General features: G+C 33.5%; 1 protein-coding gene and 1 long non-coding RNA gene across 5 annotated transcripts in view; one reads left to right on the top strand and one right to left on the bottom strand.

Annotated features, from left to right (window-relative positions):
* Window positions 1–24,825, top strand: part of STPG2 (sperm tail PG-rich repeat containing 2) — a 702,228-nt gene that overhangs the window by 646,770 nt on the left and 30,633 nt on the right. The gene's annotated exons all lie outside the window — the stretch shown is intronic.
* Window positions 6,543–24,825, bottom strand: part of STPG2-AS1 (STPG2 antisense RNA 1) — a 123,239-nt gene continuing 104,956 nt past the window's right edge. The window contains exons 5-6 of the long non-coding RNA NR_102713.1: window positions 6,895–6,933; window positions 6,543–6,711 (exon numbers count right to left, since the gene is read on the bottom strand). This is a non-coding gene — a long non-coding RNA (STPG2 antisense RNA 1). The remainder of the gene's footprint in view (window positions 6,712–6,894; window positions 6,934–24,825) is intronic.

The following is a 24,825-nucleotide window of genomic DNA, read 5'->3' as shown; positions in this document are numbered from 1 at the left end:
ACTTCCTTCAGAGTTAGGATCTTCTGAGAGAATGGGCTAAGCTGTACAGATGCCTACACAAACATAGGGGGTACACGTTATGATTTTCCAACAGGAAGATCATTTTATTTTCCAAACCTAATGTTTTCTTGCTACCTTCTAGGTTATGCAATCTATTTTGCTGGGTAACCATGGCAGTGCAGTAATTCTCAGGTTAAAGCTTTTCATGAAACAAAGCTTACATTTTTTCTAGCAGCGGGAAACATTTGACTGAAAAGCAAATCAGAATCTTTTGAGACTAGATGCATGCTGTGTAATTTTGAGTTCAGCATGTGTCTTGGGGAGTGTGTTTAATAAATTCTTTTCCCTGAGGCAGCTCTATTTTGTCTGCCTAGGGATACAAAGGACATTCTGTTCAACTGTTAGAATTCCATATTGACCTAGGCAAGTACTTATAATCGCTAAAAAGCAAATGAAAAATTGCAAGTTATTTTTGCTATTCTCTTTACGGTATATTCTTATTGAAAATACTTTTGGGGGGGCATATAAATAGGTTATTTTAAGATGTTTTTAGGTTTAAGGCAATACAATAAAATTGCTGAAAATGATATTACTAAATATTTTGCCTTTATTAAAGTGTTAGTCATCTAATTTTTAGGACATATTGGTTGTCATTGATTTTCAACATATTTATGCATGTTTGTGTGTGTAAATCATTTTGGAGTATTTGTTTAATGTACTCATGAAACTTGGAAGCACAAAAAACATTTCTTTCTTCTCACAATAGTAAAATTTAAGGAAAAAACAGCAAATATTTAGATTCATGTGGATAATAGCTACTTACTGATATATACAGATGTTAATAAGCTCAATAAATTAATTCAGCCATTTATTTACTTATTTTATTTTATTTTATTTTACCAAACTTCTTATGTGGAATTTATGTAGAATTTCAATGGAAAGTTAAAATTTTAGAATTTGGCTTACTTTGTAGTTCTGTGTTTTTTTTTTTTTTTTGTCTTGACCATCCCTTTCCCAAACATTTAAAATTATAATATTTGGCAAAATAAGTAGCTTGACTACCAAGAAACTGAGTTTCCTTTGAACACTGTAAATACAGATAATTAATATAGAGTTTACCTGCATTTCCTTAGTTTTTGAGATCTATTTTTTTCAAACCGAACTGCATAATATATTACTCCCTTATATTGCCTTATAGAATCTGAACACTAAATGCGATACTAGAAAGCAAATTCAGAAAGAGTAGCTTGTCACATAAAAACGAATACTATACAAAAACTTTGTGTGGGTGGTTTTAAGGCTAATATTTCATTTCTAATATTTAATTTGATATTTGAGCATTACAAACTGATGTCTTGTGTTTTTAGATATTAGGTTTTATGCTATACTTTAGCTTAGACAGAAATAGAATTGCATAAATAAAATTTGGTGACTTAAAAAAGAAAATAGGGATAAACTACTAGGAATAATAGGATAAAGGAAAGGAAAAATAAAAGCAGAATAAGAAATATTCTATGTACAAAATGAAAAGGACTCAACCAGAAGAACTATATGTTCTGTCACAATTCATTTGCCTTTTAAAATGTTTATTATATATCTATATTCAATATAGATATTCAATTGTTCTCTGAAACACTAAAATATGAGTTCTGAAGATTTATGTTATAGAGATTAATGGGAACACTGTCATTTTTTAGCTATATCAGAAACATTTGTTAATTATTTTACATTATCATTTTTTCTTTTTTCTTTTATCAGCAATAGGTGTGGTTTAATTTAGGATTTAGGAAAACAGTGTAAGTATGTGGCGTATATATTTTCTTAATGTTGCATCATTCCATACATTTAATTATTATGATGGCAAAATGCTAATGTCACATTGTGTAAAAGCTTGTGGAATGAAAGATATTGTTGTAGCCATCTTTGACCACTGGTTGCTTCCTGGTCATAAATATTCAAATATGTCCCACAAAAAAAAAATCCTTACTCCTTCCGCAAAACTCTCATCCCATTACAGCATTTGCTTGAAGTCTATCATCTCATAATTTAAGTCATATCAATTTCTGAATGATGCTTCCCAGGGCTGGTACCTCAGGATCAGCTACTTGGACGTAGCTTCTCTTAGTCCAAAGGCAAACCAGGAAGTTAATTTATTTGCCCTCCATTTATCAAACATATAATGTGGAGACAAAGACAAGATGACTTCTAGATACATATAAGTAAAAGAGAGCAGAGCTGTAGGCACATAAACATCACAGGTTCACAGCAATTCTAAAATTCAGCCAGGCAAATGAATTTGTGAGTTCAGTTCTTTGATTAGGGCAATTCTGCTCCCCTGGATTGCTTCTTTGTTGTTCTTTGCTCTTCCCACTAAGTAAATGTTCATTTTCTGTGAGGAAGGCATTTATGAGCAACTGAAAAGCTTCTCAGCATGCTACCTGCCTGAAGGAATTTGGAGGCAAAAAGGCAACTTTTTAATTTTAAAATGTCTGTATCTCTCCAGCTCATGGATATATAAGTTATTTTAAAACCTCATAGGTTTTCTAGATACCAAATTATAAATTTACTCCATTTGACATAATTCATACCCCCAAATCTCTTTGAGATAAGCTTGTCTCTGCTATACTTCAGAGTTCTGTGGGACAATTTTCTTAAACGTTTTTTTGTGTTGAATCAAAGGTGAGTCATTAAGAAATTCCTTAGGACTGATAGAAGCCCATTTGTCTAGCTAAAATGTAGGGCACCTTGTTAAATCTGTTTAACAACTTATCAAAGGATTTCACAGTAGACCTTTGATTTGATATTTATTCCTGAAACATTATGGATTCCATCTTTGCAAAGAGTCCTTTTTCACTAGGGTAGTTGTTTGTTAGGGGGTGACCAAGGAGGAAAAACAATTTCATCTTTGATCTCAGCAAATACTGGCTTTTTAATATTTTCACCAAATTCTGCTTGAAAATGGAACAGTATCTCCTTTAGTACATCTCGTTTCTTATGTACTTTTTCATGGGAATCTAAAATAAGACAGTTGGCACTTACATCATTTTGTATGAAAATCTTAGCCAGAACTAAGTACATTGGGTACACTTTTAATATTCCATGTTATTCCTGGCCACACTTTTGCTAATTTTGCTGTGCTAGCAGCATGTGATAACTTGTATATCCCTTTTTTTTTCTATAATTTTATCTGTTGCAGGCAATAGCAGTTTTCTCACTTCCCTTAAAACTCCACTAATATTCTCCTTGAGTAACTTTAGACCTGTTCCCACTAACAATTCCCAAAGTCAATGCTACATGTTTTAGGTTTCTATTACAGCGGGATCCTGCTTCCAGATATTAATTATGTTTTAGTTATCCATTGCTGCACTACAAACTACATCAGAAGTTAGTAACTTCAAACAATAACAATAACCAGTTTATTTGTATACACTTCCTCAATAAGGGCTGGGCTGGGTTCTGTTTTGTTTTGCTTTTTCCTCAGGGTCTTACCAGTGTTATTCTTGTGGCTGTGTTTCACTCTTCAGTTTGGAGGCTGTAATAACCGACGTTTTACTCTTTCTATACAGACTAAATGTCTCTTGGTCTCTAGGTGGCCTATCCTGCAAAGTAGCTAGACATATTATAGGATGAGTCAGTACTACTGAGAACTGAAAAACGGATGTTTTCAGGCCTTCTTAAGGCCTGGGATCAGAAATCTCAGGACATTACTTTTGCCATGTTCTTTGTCAAAACAGTCCCTGAGGGCATTCTAGATTCAAAGGGAAAAGCAGACTCTACCTCTTGACTGGAGAGTGCTAAGGTCACATTTCAGGAGAAGATTAGGAATGGGAGATTTTGGTGTGGCCATCTTAGAAATACAATCTTCCAAAATATATAGTATAATACATTAGTATAGATATTTGAACTTCTAACCTCATTGGGTGTTATAATGATATAGTCTCATAAGTTATTCAATTTAGTATCCTATACCTTGCAAGAATCTCTTCTTCTGGTGGAAATATAATAAAATATAAAATCTGCCAACCCCCAAATTTCTCCTCACAAATATAGAAAAAAAAAAAGTTTTTATCATTGAATGAGCATTCAACTGACTACAATTCACATTCTAGGCAATCCCTAAAGAGATGGCAAAGAACAAAGGAATCTAACTATTTTCTATAGCCAAGCTGATGCAATCCATTACATACATGTTGGATTCTATGTTTAAATGTTTCCATTCAAAGGAAAAATTAAACTTGCATGTTTTCAACAAATAGGAAGTTACATCTTGGAGTCAAATATCTAGGCTTAAACTTCTGAGGAGTCAGGGAGAAAGAGTGCCCCTCTCCTTGATGTTTATATTTCAAAAAAGATGTTTTCAGAGGTCCCCATGAAAGACATTCCTGGGATCAAAACTGGCAAGAGGCTCATTGAATTTTAGAAAGATTTGCATATATCTCAAAGAGACAGAAAAAAACATTTACAATTTCCGGTGTTCTAATAGAAGACAAGTAGTTCTTCGATGGGTGGGAAAGGAGTTCTCTTCCCTTTGGCACCAGGGAAAATTTTTAATGTAAATATTTTTTAGATTTGTATCTACCCTATATTCAGCACCATTCTTACGAGATGACCATCTAGGTGTGCACTGAGTGCTTTAAAGAGAAAATTGCTATAGCATTGTAAATCATACTTTATTGGCTACTAGTCATCATGAAAGTATTCTTTACATGTAATGATAAAGTTGGTACAAATTTTACCCATTTATCCTAGGGCACCATTTATTCTCTTCACTATCCCCTTGCCTTTTAATTGCTTGCTTTCATTATCATTGCCCCATTGAGTTCATCTTTATCACTGCCACTCAAGAGTTCTTTGCAAATCTGATCATGTTACTTTTCTTCTCAAATTGTCCATTAGGTTTTCTGTGCTTTCAGAATAAATTTCACATTTGTTTTCAGATTATACAGAGAGTATTGTAAGCTTTCCTTTGCCTACCTATCTGACTTTCTTCCTTACACTTGCACCACTCTTTAGCTGTAAGTTAAAATCTTTAGTTAAGGGCATCATGCCTTCTTAAGTCTCTGTGCCTTTGCATGTACTCTTGCTTTCATGCTAAGCATTCTCCTATCCCTTCTTCATATAAACTAATATAATGCCTGTTTATTATTCAGAGATTCAGCTGATGCTTTATCTCCTCTGAGAGGCCATTTCTTTCTATGTATAGCTTCTGCCAAGTGACCCTTTTTGATACTCTCTACTATGTCTTCTGCATTTCTGTAAGTCTGGCACCAAGTACAAAGCATTTGGTGCCCAAATTTTACCAAATAAATGTTTGATAACTTTAAAAAGGAATAAGTTCTTTGAGGTAGGTAATCTAATGCTGTTGTGGGGGTGAGGTAAGAAGAAGCTGGAAATTTATTTAACATCTTTTGGATTTTAAAGAGGAAAATTAAGAAGCTGAGGGCAAGTTGTTTTCTCCTTGGGTAAAAAAGCCCAAGATTGCCAATATGTGGGCTTTCTGTGGAGTAACTTTCTTTTAAAGTTACTCCATCTCAGGGAGTATGGATTTGGAGTAACTTTAAATGAAAATTTTCTGCCAGAATTTGAAATGGTGGACTTAGGTCTCAGTCAAGATGAGGTTAACACCTCACCAGAGTTAGAATATGTTAAGAAAGACAGTAATCCTAAGTATAAAAATTAGGAAAAAATAATCCAAAAAATTGCAAGTTAGTGAATCAGAAAGAGAATAAAATAATGCATTTGCTGAGTAAACTGAGGTCATATTAACTAAATTCCTTATGCTGTAAATGGGTTTAGCTACATATTTACTTGCCTTTTAATAGGTTTAATTGTGTGCTTTTTGCCAATGACTGGTGTTTAGGAAATGGGAACTTCAACATCAGAAAAGAGAAAAGATATGGGAAGTCCTAAATCTAAGCTCTTTGAAGGAGAGATGTTTAGAAGTGTTAAAGGTTAGGAACACAGAAAAGGGGCAGTGGAAATTGGCATGTTAGTTTTCATATTTCATGCTGCATATGTTGCCTATTTGGTACCAACCTATACATGCAGACAGTACTTTAACTGTGAACTGTTTTGTATTGTTACTTCAATTATAACAGTGAAACCAGGAGGTACAGGGAAGCGAGTACTCCTTCACTGAGTTTTTAAAAACTGTTATCCTAGTGTCTCTATAATGTAACCAATTACTTAGTGGGAATGTACAGATAGAGGCTGAGAATGGCTATCATTTTTGGGAGGGATGGAGGAAGAGAATCTAATAAAGTGGCAAACAGAGTAGTAGAATATAAGTAATGGCATGGAAATTAGGAAGAGAGAGAGGGAATAATTAATATTGCCAATGGCTGAAGAGAGGTTAAGTAGAAAGAAGACTGAAAGAACGCATTGGCTTTGCCAAGTAGGGAACTATTGGTGGTCTTAGCAAGAACAGGTTATGTAGAATGATGAGGGTGGAAAATGTGGAAATCAGCCTGTCATAAATTAGAATAAATGGGGGGAGGGGTGGGAATATCAACATCAACACTATCATATTTATGTATCCATAACCAATGTGTAATATTGGATTGTATTTTTTAAAAAATTACTAGGTTATATTTCTAGATAATATTTATACTAGCTGCCATTGAAATCTATTCTTTTCTTCTTGAGCCAACACAGAGGTGGGAAAATAAATCTTCCCTGGATTTCTTGGTGTTGTTATGAGGTCTTGACCATCTAAAAGACAGACATTGATACACTATGAAGATAATGTTTGCTTTATTTCCCCCAGAAAAAATAAATGTTCTCTTCATATAGTATGGATACTAGATCTGCAATCTTTTGTCTCCTTAATTGTAGCCAGTTGATCCCATCTGGAGATTAAGATTTCTCCTAATTTACCCAGAGCAAAACACTTACATTTCGGGGTAGAGATCTTCACCCTCTTCAGAAGGAGACCTTTGAAGGAAATAAGAGAATTATTTCCCTGTATGTTTACATTTCAAATGAAGAGAAAACCCCGAGTGGTAAACTTAGAGATGCTAGTATTTTTTCCATCTAGAAGCATATTTACATTCAAAGTATAAGAACTCAAAATTCTTTCCCTTTTCTTCCCAAGGTGAATATGCTTACATTAGGAATAAAAGGTTGTCCTCCCTTCATTTAAGAGGGAAGGAGAGACAATTGTTCCTCTACTAGATCCATATTTTCAGAGTCTCCCTTCCACAGTACAATCTTGGCATATGTGTGGAACTATCTCTTTGACTATATGTAGCCTCTCATCTGGTCACCTAGGTGGTACTAGCCTTGGGGAACCAGTGCTACGTTACTCTGGCTGCTGTTATTGTAAGAAAATAAACCTCTGATTTCTGACCCAGATGCCTGATATTTCTACTAGTATCGATTTATCTGTCTCTCTGTCTATCTAATCCATCTGTATTAGTCTGTTTTCACAATGCCAATAAAGACATGCCTGAGACTGGGCAATTTATAAAAGAGGTCTAATGGACTTATAGTTCCAAATGGGTGTGGAGGCCTCACAATCATGCTGGAAGGCAAGGAGGTTCAAGTCACGTTTTACATGGATGACCCCAGGCAAAGAGAGAGAGCTCGTGCAGGGAAATTCTTGTTTTTAAAACCATCAGATCTCATGAGACTTATTCACTATCATGAGAACAGCATGGGAAAGACCCGCCCCCATGATTCAATGACCTCCCACTGGGTTCTTCCCATGAACTGTGGGAATTGTGGGAGTTACAATTCAAGATGAGATTTGAGTGGGGACACAGGGAAACAATGTCACCATCTATCTGTCTATCTATTTGTCAATATATAACTGTGAAAGTAGGGTAACATCTCAGACCTATCACAGTTTCTGACTTACCATCAGCTAGACCATGTTATCTTGACCATCATGTAGTTACCATAGATGAACAACTGAATTCTAGTTATTGCAATGTGAGTGGAAATGATGTCTGTCACTTCCAGGCCTGATTCTTAAACATTATTTGTTTTGTCCTCTATGTATTGTCTCTTTCTGTTCAACTGGGATTGCCAGAGATCTTGGAAGCCAGTTTTTGAAAATGGCTGATTTGCTATGAGTCTGGGTTTCTGAAAGACTGCCTACTTACCCACTCCTCTCACCTACTTTACCTTGCTGGCCAGAAACATTGATTCTTCACTACTATTTGAGTGAGACATAAATTTCTATTTTGTCTATTTGTTAGAGCAGTTAAGAACAATACTATATTTACACATAATAGAGTGGGTAAGAGTTTATTTTAGGGACAGATTGCATGTAAATAAATTACTGTTTGATCTTCAGCAAAATAGTTAATCTTTCTGTTCCTCAGTTTTCTCATCTGTAAACTGGGATAACTCTTAGGACTTTTCTTGAGATTAAATTAATGTATTTGAAGTGCTTAGAACAATGTCTAGCACATGGAAAATAGCCTGAAGTACTTTGTTATTGTTATTATTATACATTCATTACTTGATTTTTCTCTTAAGGTAAGTTTTCAAGAATATTCTCTGTAGATAAATGCAGATTTGGTTCATTTATTTTGATGATTAGATTGTATTCCATTATATTAAGGCCCATACTTAGTTATTTCTTGAATACAAACTATAAGAACATAAGTGTGAAGAACATGTAACAACTTCAGAATTGTAGTTATTTCTGTGGGAAAAGGAAAGAGGGGAGGGGATGGAATTGTATATCTTTTTCTAAATGGCAATTTTGATAATTATGGGTGATAAATACATAGGTTTCTTTTATATTACACATGTATTTTCTCTAATTTTGAAATATTATATAATTAAAATAAATTGCAAATTACTTTTTATGACCTTTTACTAATAAACAAAAAACTTTCCTATAAATTGGTGCATTTTACTCATTTATAGCTTTTTTTCTAAGTCATTTATAAGATTTGTGTTTTTATGTACCATTAATGGAATAGTGCAGTTTTGAATATAGCCCAAAGTATTCAATTCTTAAACACGGATGGTATAAACATGACATAGTAAACTTAATCCAACCATTAGTATTGCTATAATTTATTGAATCTAATATACCATCAAGTGTAAAAAGCCTCATTTTACATAGCATTCAGAAAGAAAAATATTCTGATTTTAAGAAACCATGAAGTGTAACATGCATTCTAATTTTAGAGATGTTAAGATGTAAAAAAAATGGTGTGTTGGAAATAATAAAATATATTTTTTCTAATAGCAGTTTTCATTTCTTCAATAGACATAAATATCATCAAAGAATTTTGTTTCTTAGCTTTATTGAAGTATGTTTTATATAAAATTTTTAAAACTAAATTTAAAGGTTCAATTTGATTGAATTTTGATAGTTATATTGTGTAATAGATCATTTTCATCTCCTCTTTACTATAAGTTTCCTTTCTGTGACTCCTTACCTGTAACAGCCACTTCTGGTTTCTATAGTTATATTTTTCCTTTTCTAGAAGTTCATTTAAATGAAATAATACCATATGTAGTCTTCCTGGTCTGGGTTTTTTTTTTCCATAGGTTATTGGGGTATAGACAGGTGATATTTGGTTATATGAGTTAAGTATACACTGCACCCTATTTGTAGTCTTTTGTCCCTCCCCCTACTCCCACCCTTCCTCCCAAGTCCCCAAAGTCCATTGTATCATTCTTATGACTTTGCATCCTCATAGCTTAGCTCCCACATGTCAGTGAGAACATACAGTGTTTGGTTTTCCATTCCTGAATTGCTTCACTTAGAATAATAGTCTCCAATCTCATCCAGGTCACAGAAAATGCGTTAATTCATTCTTTTTTATGGCTGAGTAGTATTCCATTGTGTGTGTGTGTGTGTGTGTGTGTGTGTGTGTGTGTTTGTATACATACATATATATATATATATATACACACACACACACACACACACACACCACAGTTTCTTTATCCACTCATTGATTGATGGGCATTTGGGTTGGTTCCATGATTTTGCAATTGCGAATTGTGCTGCTATAAACATGCATGTGCAAGTATCTTTTTCATGTAATGACTTCCTTTCTTCAGGGTAGATACTCAGTCATGGGATTGCTGGATCAAATGGTAGTTCTACTTTTAGTTCTTTAAGGAATCTCCACACTGTTTTCCATAGTGGCTGTACTAATTTACATTCCCACCAGCAGTGTAGAAGTGTTCCCTGTTCACTGCATCCACGCCAACATCTACTGTTTTTTGATTTTTTGATTATGGTCATTCTTGCAGGAGTAGGTGGTATTGCACTGTGGTTTTGATATGCATTTCCCTGATCATTAGTGATGTTGAACATTTTTTCATTTTTGTTGGTCATTTGTATATCTTGTTTTGGGAATTGTCTATTCATGTTCTTAGCCCACTTTTTGATGGGATTGTTTTTTTCTTGCTGATTTGTTTGAGTTAATTGTAGACTCTGGATATTAGTCCTTTGTCAGATGTATAGATTGTGACAATTTTCTCCCACTCTATGGGTTGCCTTTTACTCTGGTGACTGTTCCTTTTGCCAAGCAAAAGCTCTTTAGTTTAATTAAGTCCCAGTTATTTACTCTTTTTCTATTGCATTTGCTTTGGGGTTCTTGGTCATAAAATCCTTGCCTAAGCCAATGTCTATTATCTTCTAGAATTTTTTGTTTCAGGTCTTAAATTTAAGTCCTTAATCAATCTTGAGTTGATTTTTGTGTAAGGTTAGAGATGAGGATCCATTTTCATTCTCCTACATATGGCTGGGCAATTATCCCAACACAATTTGTTGAAAAGGGTGTCTTTTCACTACTTTATATTTTTGTTCGCTTTGTTGAAGACAAGTTGGCTGTAAGTATTTGGGTTTATTTCTGGGTTCTCTATTCTGTTCCATTGGTCTATGTGCCCATTTTTATACCAGCACCATGCTGTTTTGGTGACTATGGCCTTAAAGTATAGTTTGAAATCAGGTAGTGTGATGCCTCCAGGTTTGTTTTTTTGCTTAGTCTTGCATTGGCTATGCAGGCTTCATATGAATTTTAATTTTTTTTATAATTCTGTGAAGAATGATGGTGGTATTTTGATGGGGATTGCTTTGAATTTGTAGATTGCTTTTGTCAGTATGGTCATTTTCACAATATTGGATTCTATCCATCCATGAGCATGGGATATGTTTCTATTTGTTTGGGTTGTTTATGATTTATTTCATCAGTGTTCTGCAGTTTTCATTGTAGAGGTCTTTTGCCTCCTTAGTTAAGTATATTCCTAAGTTTTTTGTTTTTTGCAGCTATTGTAAAAGGGGTTGAGTTCTTCATTTGATTCTCCACTTGGCCGCTGTTGGTGTATAGAAGAGCTACTGATTTGTGTACATTAATCTTGTATCCAGAAACGTTGTTGAATTCTTATACGAGTTCTAGGAGCTTTCTGGAGGAGTCTTTAGAGTTTTTGAGGTAAACAATCATATCGTCAGCAAACAGTGACAGTTTGACTTCCTCTTCGCTGATTTGGATGCCCTTTATTTCTTTATCTTGTCTGATTGCTCTGGCTAGGACTTTCCAGTACTACATTGAAGTGGAGTGGTGAGAGTGGACATCCTTCTCTTGTTCCAGTTCTCAGAGGGAAGGCCTTCAACTTTTCCCCATTCAATATTATGTTGGCTGTGGCTTTGTAAGAGATGGTTTTTATTAAATTGAGGTATGTCCCTTGTATGCTGATTTTGCTGAGAGTTTTAATCAAGGGATGCTGGATGTTGTCAAATGCTTTTTCTGCATCTAGTGAAATGATCATGTGATTTTTGTTTTTAATTCTGTTTATGTGGTGTATCACATTTATTGACTTGTGTATATCAAACTGTCCCTACATCCCTGGTGTGAAACCCACTTGATCATGGTGGATTATCTTTTTGAAGTGTTGTTGGATTTTGTTAGCTAGTATTTTGTTAAGGATTTTAGCATCTATGTTCATCAGGGATATTGGTCTGTAATTTTCTTTTTTTGTTATATCCTTTCCTGGTTGGTATTAAGGTGATGCTGGCCTCATAGAATGAATTAGGTAGGGTTCCCTCTTTCTCTATCTTATGGAATAGTGTCAAAAGGATTGGTACCAATTCTTCTTTGGATGTCTAGTAGAATTCTGCTGTGAATTCGTCTGGTCCTGGACTTTTTTTGTTGGTAATTTTTAAATCAGCATTTCAATGCCACTGCTTGTTATTGGTGTGTTCAGAGTATCTAATTCTTCCTGATTTAAGCTAGGAGAATTGTATTTTTCCAGTAATTCATTTATCTTTTCTAGGTTTTCTACTTGATGTGCGTAAAAGTTTTCATAGTAGCCTTGAATGATCTTTTGTATTTCAGTGGTGTCAGTTATAATATCTCCTGTTTCATTTCTTAATGAGGTTATTTGGATTTTCTCTCTTCTTCATTAATCTTGCTAATGATCTTTCAATTTTATTTATCTTTTCAAAGAACTGGCTGTTTGCTTCATTTATATTTTGTATTTTTTTGTTTCAATTTAATTTATTTCTGCTCTGATTTTCATGTTTCCTTTCTTCTTCTGGGTTTGGGTTTGACTTGTTCTTGTTTCTCTAGTTCTTTGATGTATGACCTTAGAATGTCTGTGCTCTTTCAGTCTTTTTAATGGAGGCATTTGGGGCTATGAACTTTCCTCCTAGCACCACCTTTGCTGTATCCCAGAGGTTTTGATAGGTTGTGTCATTATTGTCGTTCAGTTTGAAGAATGTTTTAATTTCCAACTTGATTTAGTTTTTGACCCAATGCTCATTCAGGAGCAGGTTATTTAATTGCCATGTATTTGCATGGTTTTGAAGTTCCTTTTGGAGCTGATTTCCAGTTTTATTCCACTGTGGTCTGAGAGAGTGCTTGATATAATTTCAAATTTCTTAAATTTAATGAGGCTTGTTTTATGACCTATCATATGATCTATCTTGGAGAAAGTTCCATGTGCTCTTGAATACAAATGTGTATTCTGCAGTTATTGGATGGAAAGTTCTGTATATATCTGTTAAGCCCATTTGTTTCATGGTATAGTTCAAATCCATTGTTTCTTTGTTGACTGTATGTCTTCATGACCTGTCTAGTGCTGTCAGTGGAATAGTGAAGTCCCCCACTACTATTGTGTTGCTGTCTATCTCATTTCTTAGGTCTAGTAGTATTTGTTTTATAAATTTGGGAGCTCCAGTTTATGTGCATATATGTTTAGGATTATGATATTTTCCTGTTAGACAAGGCCTTTTTACCATTATATAATGTCCCTCTTTATCTTTTTAACTGCTGTTGCTTTAAAGTTTGTTTTCTCTTACATAAGAATAGCTACCCTTGCTGGCTTTCAGTGTCCATTTGCAGGAAATGTCTTTTTCTACCCCTTTACTTTAAGTTTATGTGAGTTCTTATGTGTAGTCTCCTGAAGGCAGCAGATAGTTGGTTGGTGAGTTCTTATCCATTCTGCAGTTCTGTACCTTTTAAGTGGAGCATTTATGCCATGTGTATTGAATGTTAGTATTGAGATGTGAGGTACCATTCCATTCATCATGGTATTTGTTGCCTGTGTACCTTGGTTTTTGGTTTCTGTTTTTGCTTTTCAAATTGTATTTTTGCTTTATAGGTCCTGTCTGATTTATGCTTTAAAGAGGTCCTGTTTTGATGTGTTTCCAGAATTTGTTTCAAGACTTAGAGTTTCTTTTAGCAGTTCTTGTAGTGATGGCTTGGTGGTGGCAAATTTCTCAGCATTTGTTTGTCTGAAAAAGACTGTATCTTTTCTTCATATATGATACTTAGTTTTGCTGGATACAAAATTCTTGGCTAATAATTGTTTTGTTTGAGGAGGCTGAAGATAGGACCCCAATCCCTTCTAGCTTGTAGGGTTTCTGCTGATAAATCTGCTGTTAATCTGATAGGTTTTCTTTCATAGGTTACCTGGTGTTTCTGTCCCATAGGTCTTAAGGTACTTTCCTTTATCTTAACTTTAGATAACCTGATGACAGTGTACCTAGGTGATGATCTTTTTGCAATGAATTCCCCAGAAGTCCTTTGTACTTCTTGCATTTTGTCATATAGGTCTCTAGCAAGGCCAGGGAAGTTTTCTTTGATTATTCCCCCAAATATGTTTGCCAAACTTTTAGATTTCTCTCCTTCCTCTGGAAAACCAATTATTCTTAGTTTGGTTGTTTAACATATCCCAGACTTCTTGGAGGCTTTGTACATATTTTCTTATTATTTTTTCTTTGTCTATGTTGGATTGGGTTAATTAGAAGATTTTGTCTTTGAGCTCTGAATTTCTTTATTCTACTCATTCAATTCTATTTCTTAGACATCCCAGAGCATTTTGCATTTCTATAAGTGTGTCCAATGTTTCCTGAAGTTTTTGTTTTTTCTTTATGCTATCTATTTCTTTGACTATTTCTCCCTTCACTTTTTGTATCATTTTTTGCTATTAATTAAAGAAAACAAGAGACCAATATCTTTTTTAACGTAGATCCAAAACTTTTTTTTCAAAAACTGTTTAAATCATATTCAATAACATACAAAAGAATAATACATTATGACTAAATGGGATTTGTCCAAGAATGCAAGAATTGTTTAACATTTGAAAAATCACTCAGTGTAATTTACCATAGTCATAGATTAAAAAAGAAAAAAATGATTATCTTAAAAGATACCAAAAAGACCAACAAATTTAAATACACTTATGATAAAAATTAGCAGCCAACTAGAGATAGAAAGACTCATTTTCAAGCTAATAAATGATTTATACGAAAAGATTACAGATCAATGTATTTGTTGATGAAAGACTGAGTGTTTTTGCCCTCAAATGAGAAGCAAGACAAGGATGGCTGTGTTCACATCTCCTATTCAACATAGCACTGGAGTTCCTAGCCACTTTAATAAGTCAAGAAAAATATAAGCATACTGATTGGAAAAGAAGTAGTAAAACTGTCTTTTTTTCACAGACAAAAATAAAAGTCTATGTGGAAAAATAAAACAAGCTTACAAAAAAGACACTAGAATTAATAAGTGAATTTTTCAATGTCACAGTTATAAGGTCAGTGTTCAAAAATTAATAGTGTTTCTAAATACTCATCAAGAAATGTTGAAATTTGAAGTTGAAATTGTGCCACCGATAATAGCATCAGAATGTATAAAAAAATTAGGGATACATTTAACAAAACATGTTAGACCTGTATGCTGCAAAATACAAAACATTGGTGAGAAAATCTTTAACATTCCTAATAAATCTTTATACTTTATTAATAGATTAGAAGATGCAATGTGAATTCTCTCCAAATTGATCTACAGATGAAACACAATAGAAAGACCAGCAAGCTTCTTTTTCAGAAATTGCCAAGCTGATTCTAAAATTTGTGTGGAAATACAAATTACTCAAAATAGCCAAAACAATTGTGAATAAAATTCCAAAGATTTAGGACTTAATTTCAAGAATATACTCTATAATTACAGATATCAAAATAGTTTGAATACACGTAGATAAGGGAAGCAGAATTCAGGGTTCAAAAATTGACTATTGTAGATGGTCTGTTAATTTTTTACATAGATGCTAAAGTTATTCAATAGAAAATGGAAACATTTTCAACAAATATTGCTGTAATAACTTTATATTGGTATGCCAAAAAATGTGTTTTTTCTCTATGTCATGCCATGTAAAACAATTAAACTTGAAATAGCTCTGAGATATAAATGTAAGTACTAAAACTCTAAAACTTACTGAAAATAAAATTCTAGTAGGAAATCTTTGTGTCCTTAGGGAAAGCGAAAATTTTGAACCACACAATAAAAAGTTGATAATTTTGACCACATTGAATTTTTAGAAATTCTCTTCAAAAGAAATCTTAGAGAAAATAATAAAACAAGCCTTATCCTGGGAAAAAAAATGTTTTAAAAACATATAGTTTATTCAGATTGTAACCAGAGTATGCTAAAAATACCTATAGCTCAATAATAAGAAGGCAAAAACTAAAGTAAGCAAAATATTTGAATAGGCATTTCACAGAAGGCTATAAGCAACAAATAGGTATATAGAAAGGTATTTAACATTATTAGTCACAGGGAAATGCAAAATTAAAACCACATTACATACCTACTACAACAGCTAAAATTAAAAAGAAAATATCCAGTATTAATGATTAATAGCAACTGATACTCTCATACATTTCTAGTGGGAATTATAATGTTTTTATAATTAAAGAAAACTAGAGACCAATATGTTTTTTATAATGTTTTTATCTGGTTTTTGTATTGAGGTATTACAGGCCTCTTAAAATGAGATAAGGAGGTCTGTCTCCTTCACTTTTCTGAAGAGTTTCAGTAGAATTGGCATTATTTTCTATTACACGTCTGATAAAATTCATCACTGAAGCAATCTGTGCCTCCCATTTCATTTTTTGTTTTCTTTTTTTAAATGGGTAAACCGGAAAGACTTTTAAATGATATTCAATTTCTTTAGTAAACTGGGCTATTCATGTTAACTCAGTCATATTGAGTGAACATTGGTGGTTTGTATCTTTCATGGAATTTGTCTATCTTTTATATATTGTCAAATGTATTAACTTTGCATAATTTTCCCTTATTTGTCTAATATCTATAGATCTGTACTGAGGTTCTCTTGCTTTATATTATTTTTGTCTTTCCTATATTTTTGATCATTTTGAAGTTTGTCAGTTATACTGATCTTTTCAAAGAACCAGTTTCATTTAACTTGCTAAGTATATTTTATTACAAGTGTGCAAAATAGTTTTTCAGCTCTATGCTTATTTGTGCAGCTTCCTGGATCTACAGAATTATAGTTTCAGCAAATATGGAAACAAATTATCCATTACTGCTACAAAAGAATAAGCTGGTTCAATTGTAGGAATCACTTTGCTTCCCTTTTCTTGAGTATCACAGTCCTGTGCCTTCTGTTGTTCAATAGCTGAAGACAATTGTTTCATATATTTTGCCTAGTTTTCTAGGAGTTGAATAAAAGAGAGTAAATTTTGTCTTTGTTATTCTGTCTTGATCTATAATGGAAACCTTAATCTATTTACATTAGTCACAGATATTCAATTCTAAAATCTTCCTAAAGACTCTAAAATCTGGTTAGTGTAAAATCTGTGGAATGTCTTAATGACTCCATTTGAGAAATCTAGATGCTAATCAATTCTACAGCAATTTCTATTGTGCAATCCAGTATTTAATATAGAATGTCAGATTCGAAAGGACATTTATAGTCCACTAAATTATTTATCTTTATGTAGTATTCTTTGAAGACTATTTTAATCAGGGATTTTGGATAGATTTTGAAAGCTTCTTATCTTTTATGCAGAAGAGTTTGTACTTTATACCATTTATAGTCTGGTGCATTTTGGTGAGAATAAGGTTGTCATGCTAAGTGTAATCTGAAGGATATTCAGAACAATCTTTCTCCCTTAACCTTAGAATTGATAAAAATCAACTATTTGTATGCATATATAGACCCACACCCATATATACGATCAGTGATTTGGCAAATTGGCAATCTCCTTATTTATTGTAAGTATTTTGATTCCTGTTTGAGTAATCATTATCTATGCCTAAGTGTTTGTGTGTGTGTGTGTGTGTATACACATGCATAACCACACACATATTCTGCTATGTATATCCTTCTAATAGTTTCAAATTTTTTGTTTTTATATTTAAATATTTAATCAATCTAATATTTGTTTGAGTGTGTTTGTATGCTGTTGTTGTAGGGATCCAATTATTATTAATGAGGATGAACAATTGTCTTTGCATCCATCATCCAATTACTTATATTGCCTGGTCTTTCACATATAAAGTACACACACACACACACACACACACACACACACACACACACACACACATATTTGGCTTGGTTTCTAGGGTTCATTTTGTGTTTATCATTGGGATACTTGTAAATCAATTTAACAAATTAGTAATGTATGGTAAGTCTAGCGATACAGTTAACAAGCCCTTCCTCATTTTTTTTAGTCATTTTGAATTATTAGGCAATCGTGATAGCATAATGAAATTAAAATTTTAGCAAAAGAGAAAACCTAACAAACTTATCATAGAGTTAATTTCATTAAAACTAAACTATAACTAAATGAGTACAAAAATAATTAAAAAGTAGCATTTAAAAAACAATCTACATAATTTAGAGACTATGTTGAAATAATTTAAGATTCAGGACAAAATGGTATACAAGATAAAAACAAATACTGCCCTACTAATTGGCAGTCATCAAGGTTATCATAAGAAAATTACAGTGATCGTCTATTATTAATTTTTCCAGTTCATATTTCAAGTTGCTGTCCTTTTAATCTATCAGAAATAAAATGATCAGGTCACTGTAAAAAGTAAAAAGTCTTAATTTACTCCTAAGCCCTACATTTTTCTGATTCCAATGTGCTTTTTAAATATGACTTTCTATTAGTTCGTTTTATATTTATAATTTTAGCTTAATAAAAGTACTTGTGATTCTCCATACTACTTGACTCAGTATTTCCACTTTATTTACTTTGTGTATTCTGTTTACTCTGCTTTGTGTATCACTTACCTATCATTTCCAAAATCAATCCATGTTTCAAAACCCAGTGTAAATGTTAGCTTGCCTGTCACTCCATGCAGAAATACCAGCAACCTCATTTGAATCTGTTTAACGTTTTCATCCTTTATATCATAAATGTGTTAGTTTCTACCTTGTATTATTACTTATGCGATAGCTTAATCTCTTTAATTAGACTTCCTATTCTTCACAAGCCTTACCTGTGCATGATGCATTTTTATTTAGTTAACATGCTAGTTTTTATCACGTAGTAGCTGATTTACAAATATGTGTTGAATTAATGTAAACTAGGGATAAGATTTGTCAAAGGATATAGAAAAGCAATAGTAGATAATGACAAAAACAAGGAAATGAGGAGGTTTTAATTATTTAAAAAGCGAGGCCAGGCGCGGTTCCTCACGTCTGTAATCCCAGCACTTTGGGAGGCCAAGGCAGGCAGATCACGAGGTCAGGAGATTGAGACCATCGTGGCTAACATGGTGAAACCCCATCTCTACTAAAAATACAAAAAGAAAAAAAAAAAAAATTAGCCGGGCATGGTGGCAGGCGCCTGTAGTCCCAGCTACTTGGGAGGCTGAGGCAGGAGGATGGCGTGAACCTGGGAGGCGGAGCTTGCAGTGAGCCGAGATCGTGCCACTGCACTCCTGCCTGAGCAACAGAGCGAGAGTCAGTCTCAAAAAAAAAAAAAAAAAACAAAAAAGGAAGGTAAACCATCATAAAGAACACCTGATGATTGGGGATAGATTACAATGATATAAAATTTTTCTTTGCATACTTTTCTAGGAGGATAAGGACAAATAAATCCCTAGAACTAATGGCATCCACTCAGGTGATTAGGAGTTCAGAGCTGAAAATTGGAAACTGTTATACGAAATGATAAATTGTCATTATAAATGACCCCTGTGTCAGAGAACAAATGTGACTGGTATAAATTAATAGAAATAATGACAGTTACTATATAAGCTACTGTAAAATAAAATAGTAACACCAAAAAACAAAGTTAATATTTACTGAGGGGTTACATACCAATATGTGCATGCATGTGCACACACATATACACACACACTCAGAGGACTCTAATAGAGTAACTGTTCACAACCCAATGACAGGACCTTTAAATTGTTATAGGTTGGTCTACTCCATGCTGGTGATTCCCAAATACTATCTCCAATCTGGCTGTGGTTTTGTCCCCAAACTCCGAAATTAATTATCCAACTGTCTTTTTGATATATCCATTTGAAGATGTCATTTGGAAAAGTGTCAGGTGTCTACTCATGATCAGTAAATATTTACTGATTCAGAAAGAGAATAATATTTGGAACCACTTAGAGTTTATTGTTGGGATGAAAGAAAATATTCCAGTGTAACTAATTGCAATAGTAACTTAAGTGATAACAACAATGTAATTATTTTAAAGGATGCTGCAAAACTGCTTCCAAAATTCAGGGACCTGTCCTAATAATAAGCTCAACTAAAATATAATTTGATAGCACATTAAAACAATTTAAAGATTATATGGAAAATGTTCATAGCAAGCATAATATTAAATGTTAAAACACTAATCTTATTTCCATTAAAATCTGGATGGATACAGTGATATCCTCCAGAATCACTATCATTCAATTCTGTTTTAGAGATTCTAAACAATGCAATATGGAAAAATAATCAAGTAAGCAGAGAAAATGTTACAATGTGAGATATGAATAACATGTATATGGCAAAAAGAAAAAAGAAATGGTATTAAAACTATTAGCATTAGTAGGAGAATATTGCAAAGTCAGTTGAACAAGCTATATATAGAAAAATTTTTTAAGTTAAAATAACAAATTAGAAAATTTTGATTATGAAAGTATAACTAGGCATTATAATGTCCCAAATAAAACTAGATATATTAGGAAGTAAATTTACTAAGTTACTGGATACATATGAAGAAAACTATAGAAGTTTGTTTTAGGATACCAAATAAAACCTGAACATATATGGAAAACATGCCACAATGCTGTATAGGAAAACTGAATATTATTCAAATATTTACCACATTAAAAATTAAATACAATATATTAATTCATACATTCATTGATTTAACAAATTTACTAAATGCCCACATGTCTTTAGCACTAGGTATACAGGCATGAGAGAGATGGACAATATTTCTTCCTCCAAGAGCTTACATTCTAATGGTACAGAGAAAAAATAAACATATAAACAAGTTAACTTTTTTTTTAGGTAGTAGTAAGTGGCGTAAAGAAAAAAGAAACCAAAATCACACAGGAATGAGCCTGATGGTGGTGGTTGGCTGGCCTTTTAGATAAGCGGCCAGGGAAAGTCTCTGTGAAGAGGACCTTTCAGAAGAGGCATCTAAGCAGTCAGCGGTCATTCCAGGCAACAATCTGAAGAAAAAGCCTCTGTTCAACAAGATCAACAAGTGCAAAGCTCTAAGGTCAAAGTATTCATGGTATGTTAGGGGAGAGCAGAGCAATTAACAGTGAAGCAGTGTGAACAAGGGTGATAGTATGACAGAAGATGAATTTTATGGAATATTGAAAAGAAAACCCATGTAGGACCTGTACACACATACCAACCATACATATGTAATACACAGTACACAATATTATATGGAATGTAACATACGTTGAATATGGTACATATATATTATATACATATTTTACATATATGCATATATTATATATGTATTATATATAACATATATACATATATGTTAGATTAAGTGAAAACTTTTTGATAAACATTGTATACATTATACATTGTAGTTAAAGAGTGAAGATTTCTAAGAAAAAGTCATAACACACCTAATATACAAATATGCAATTCATTTGGAGGAAGGGTAAATGACCTATAAACATAAGAAATTCAAATTATTTGGCAAAGAAATATTAATCAAAACAATTATATACTGTTTTCAACAAAAGTTTGGCAAAATAAAGAATGAAAACATTCAGTGCTAAAGTATTTTTGGAAAAACTATTTGCCCCCAGCAAAATCTATGTTTTAGAAACTATCCCTAATAATTAAATTATATATGAGGCTCTATTTTCAAAGATGTTTATTCAATATTTTTATAAGCAACACCCTCTTATCCATAGGCAAGATTTGAATAAATTACAGTAGTATATTTTTAACAAAAAATATGCTAATAGAGTGAATGAATAAGAAAATGAATTAATGCTGTATGAATTAACTTGTAGAGAACCATATATATCACTAAACTAGCATGTTAAAGAATTATATATACTACATAATGCCATATATTTATATAAGTTAAATCTTTATGTGTATATTTGTTTTAGTAAGAGAAAAGTATGGGTCAACCCACACAAAAAGTTATTTGCTACCTGCTAGGTAAGAATTTTGTATTTGAGGAGAGTTAGTGGTTTATTAACTTTTAAAAATACAGCTCTGTGGGGTTTTTTTTCTACTGGCTTCAGTGAGCATTCTTCTTTATAATTTTATAAAAATTCAATAAAATAAATTAAAAAGAAAGTAATGACATTAATGTAGGCTTTTCTCTCTAAAAGTCATAAGGGATTCTGGCTAAACTTCCTCCTTCCCTGTAACCATCTTCCTTGTCCCTGATATATACCAAGGGGTAGTATGGAAAATTTGCCTTACATGCAAGCAATAAGTGAGTATATTGTAGAAAAATTTAAAATCATGTTCAAAGCCACTAAAAGTTAGTTGGATTATTATCACCATGAGCTGGCAATTCTACATAATACTAGTGATAAAATGACCATCCCACAGGAATCCTTACTATCCACCCCCCAACCTCCATCATTATCGCTTTTTCGTGTTCTCATTTCAGCCTTGACCATTGCTTTTAACAATGAAATGGAAAATGCAAGAAAGCCAACATTTTTAATGTCTTCTTGTCTTTTTTTTTTCCATTAATACATTTTATTTTCTAGAGCAATTTTACGTTCACAGAAAAATTGAACAAAATGTATGGAGAGTTCCCATAAACTCCAGTTCCCACAAACAGACAACCCTTCAATCAACATCCTAGACCATAGTAGTACATTTGTTATAATCAATAAACCTACATTGAGACAACAACATTATCATCTAAAGTCCATAGTTTACATTAGGGTTCACTCTTAGTATACATTCCATGGGTTTTGACAAATGTATAATGACATGTATCCAACATTGTTATATAGAATAGTTTCAGTGATCAAAAAAAAACCCTCTATTCTCCACCTCCTTCCTCCCTAACCTCTGGGACCAATTATCAGGGGAAACTCAGCCAGATATCAGGCAAAATTCACCCCCGATATTTCATGTAGGTTCTTTTCTATTTTCCCTAAGCATCGGCTGGTTTGAGAAATAAAGGGACAGAGTACAAAAGAGAGAAATTTTAAAGCTGGGCATCCGGGGGAGACATCACTTGTCAGTAGGTTCCGTGATGCCCCCTGAGCCGTGAAACCAGCAAGTTTTTATTAGTGATTTTCAAAAGGGGAGGGAGTGTTTGAATAGGGTGTGGGTCACAGAGATCACGTGGTTCACAAGGTAATAGAATATCACAAGGCAAATGGCAGGGCGAGATCACAGGAGCACAGGACCGGGGCAAAATTAAAATTGTTAATGAAGTTTCGGGCACGCATTGTCATTGATAACATCTTATCAGGAGACAGGGTTTGAGAGCAACCGGTCTGACCAAAATTTATTAGGCAGGAATTTCCTCATCCTAATAAGCCTGGGAGCGCTATGGGAGACTGGGGCTGATTTCATCCCTACGGTTTCGACCATAGAAGACGGCCACACCCAAGGGGGCCATTTTCGAGGCCTACCCTCAGGGGCGCATTCTCTTTCTCAGGGATGTTCCTTGCTGAGAAAAAGAATTCAGCGATATTTCTCCCATTTGCTTTTGAAAGAAGAGAAATATGGCTCTGTTCCACCCAGCTCACCAGCGGTCAGAGTTCAAGGTTTTCTCTCTGTTCCCTGAACATTGCTGTTATCCTGTTCTTTTTTCAAGGTGCCCAGATTTCATATTGTTCAAACACACATGCTCTACAATTTGTGCAGTTAACGCAATTATCACAGGGTCCTGAGGTGACATACATCCTCCTCAGCTTACGAGATGACAGGATTAAGAGATTAAAGTAAAGACAGGCATAGGAAATCACAAAGGTATTGATTGGGGAAGTGATAAGTGTCCATGAAATCTTCACAATTTATGTTTAGAGATTGCAGTAAAGACAGGCATAAGCAATTATAAAAGTATTAATTTGGAGAACTAATAAATGTCCATGAAATCTTTCACAATCTATGTTCTTCTAACATGGCTTCAGCCTGTTCCTCCATTCAGGGTCCCTGACTTCCCGCAACAACCAATGATCCTTTTATTGTCACCATAGTTTTATCTTTTCCAGAATGACATATAGGATGAATCACATGTAGCCTTTCCGTTTGACTTCTTTCACTTAGTAACATGCATTTAGGGCTCCTCCTTGTCTTTTCATGGCTTGGTAGCTCATTTAATTTTCTTGCTGAATAGTATTCCATTATCTAGATGTACCACAGTTAATAATTAGGTAATAAAATAATTAATAATTAGTTTATCTACTGAAAGACATCTTGGTTGCTTTCAAGTTTTGGCAATTATGAACAAAGCTGCTATAAACATCTGTGTGCAGGTTTTGTATGGACATATTTTCTTCCTGAGAGCAGGCCTTGCTAAGAACAGAATACTCTCACATGTTGCAAAATGGCTCCTTTTCCCCTTTCCCTGCTGAAAGCACTAGATGTTTCTTCAATATTCACTGTGAGAACCAAGGCAAGCTCCTGGAGGTGAAACTCACCAAAGTTTGGGGATGCCCACTGACTGCGTCTCCCTGGAGTTTTTATCTCTTAAACTTGTCCACACTGAGCTTCCAGCAATTCATCAATTACAGTTCAGATTTTCCTACCATAACACTGGTTCCCACAGAAATTTCAGAATGAATTTCTGCCCCACTAAGTTGTGGTTCTCTGTTTCTATTTATCCCTTCAGTTTTCTGGGCAATGGTTTGTCTTGTAACTTCAGTTCTCTGAAGAAACTAAGAAAGAGTTGTTGATTTTTTTATTTTTCTAGTTGTTGTTATGATGGAGGAATGATTTATAAGCTTCTTACAAAGTACTGTTCACACTCAATATGCACATAAATGTTCTCAAATAAATCAGTCTTCATATGATTTTGTGTGATGTATATTTAAAACTAATTTGTGAATTTGAAAGAAAGAAAAAATTTTATTTACCATTGGGATGTACCTGCTGTATGAAAACTTGTTT

The sequence above is a fragment of the Homo sapiens genome, chromosome 4, assembly GCF_000001405.40.
Source record: "Homo sapiens chromosome 4, GRCh38.p14 Primary Assembly".
Classification (NCBI taxonomy): Eukaryota; Metazoa; Chordata; class Mammalia; order Primates; family Hominidae; genus Homo; species Homo sapiens.
Note: the sequence above shows the minus strand (reverse complement) of the source record. Positions and strands in the feature narration are given on the sequence as shown.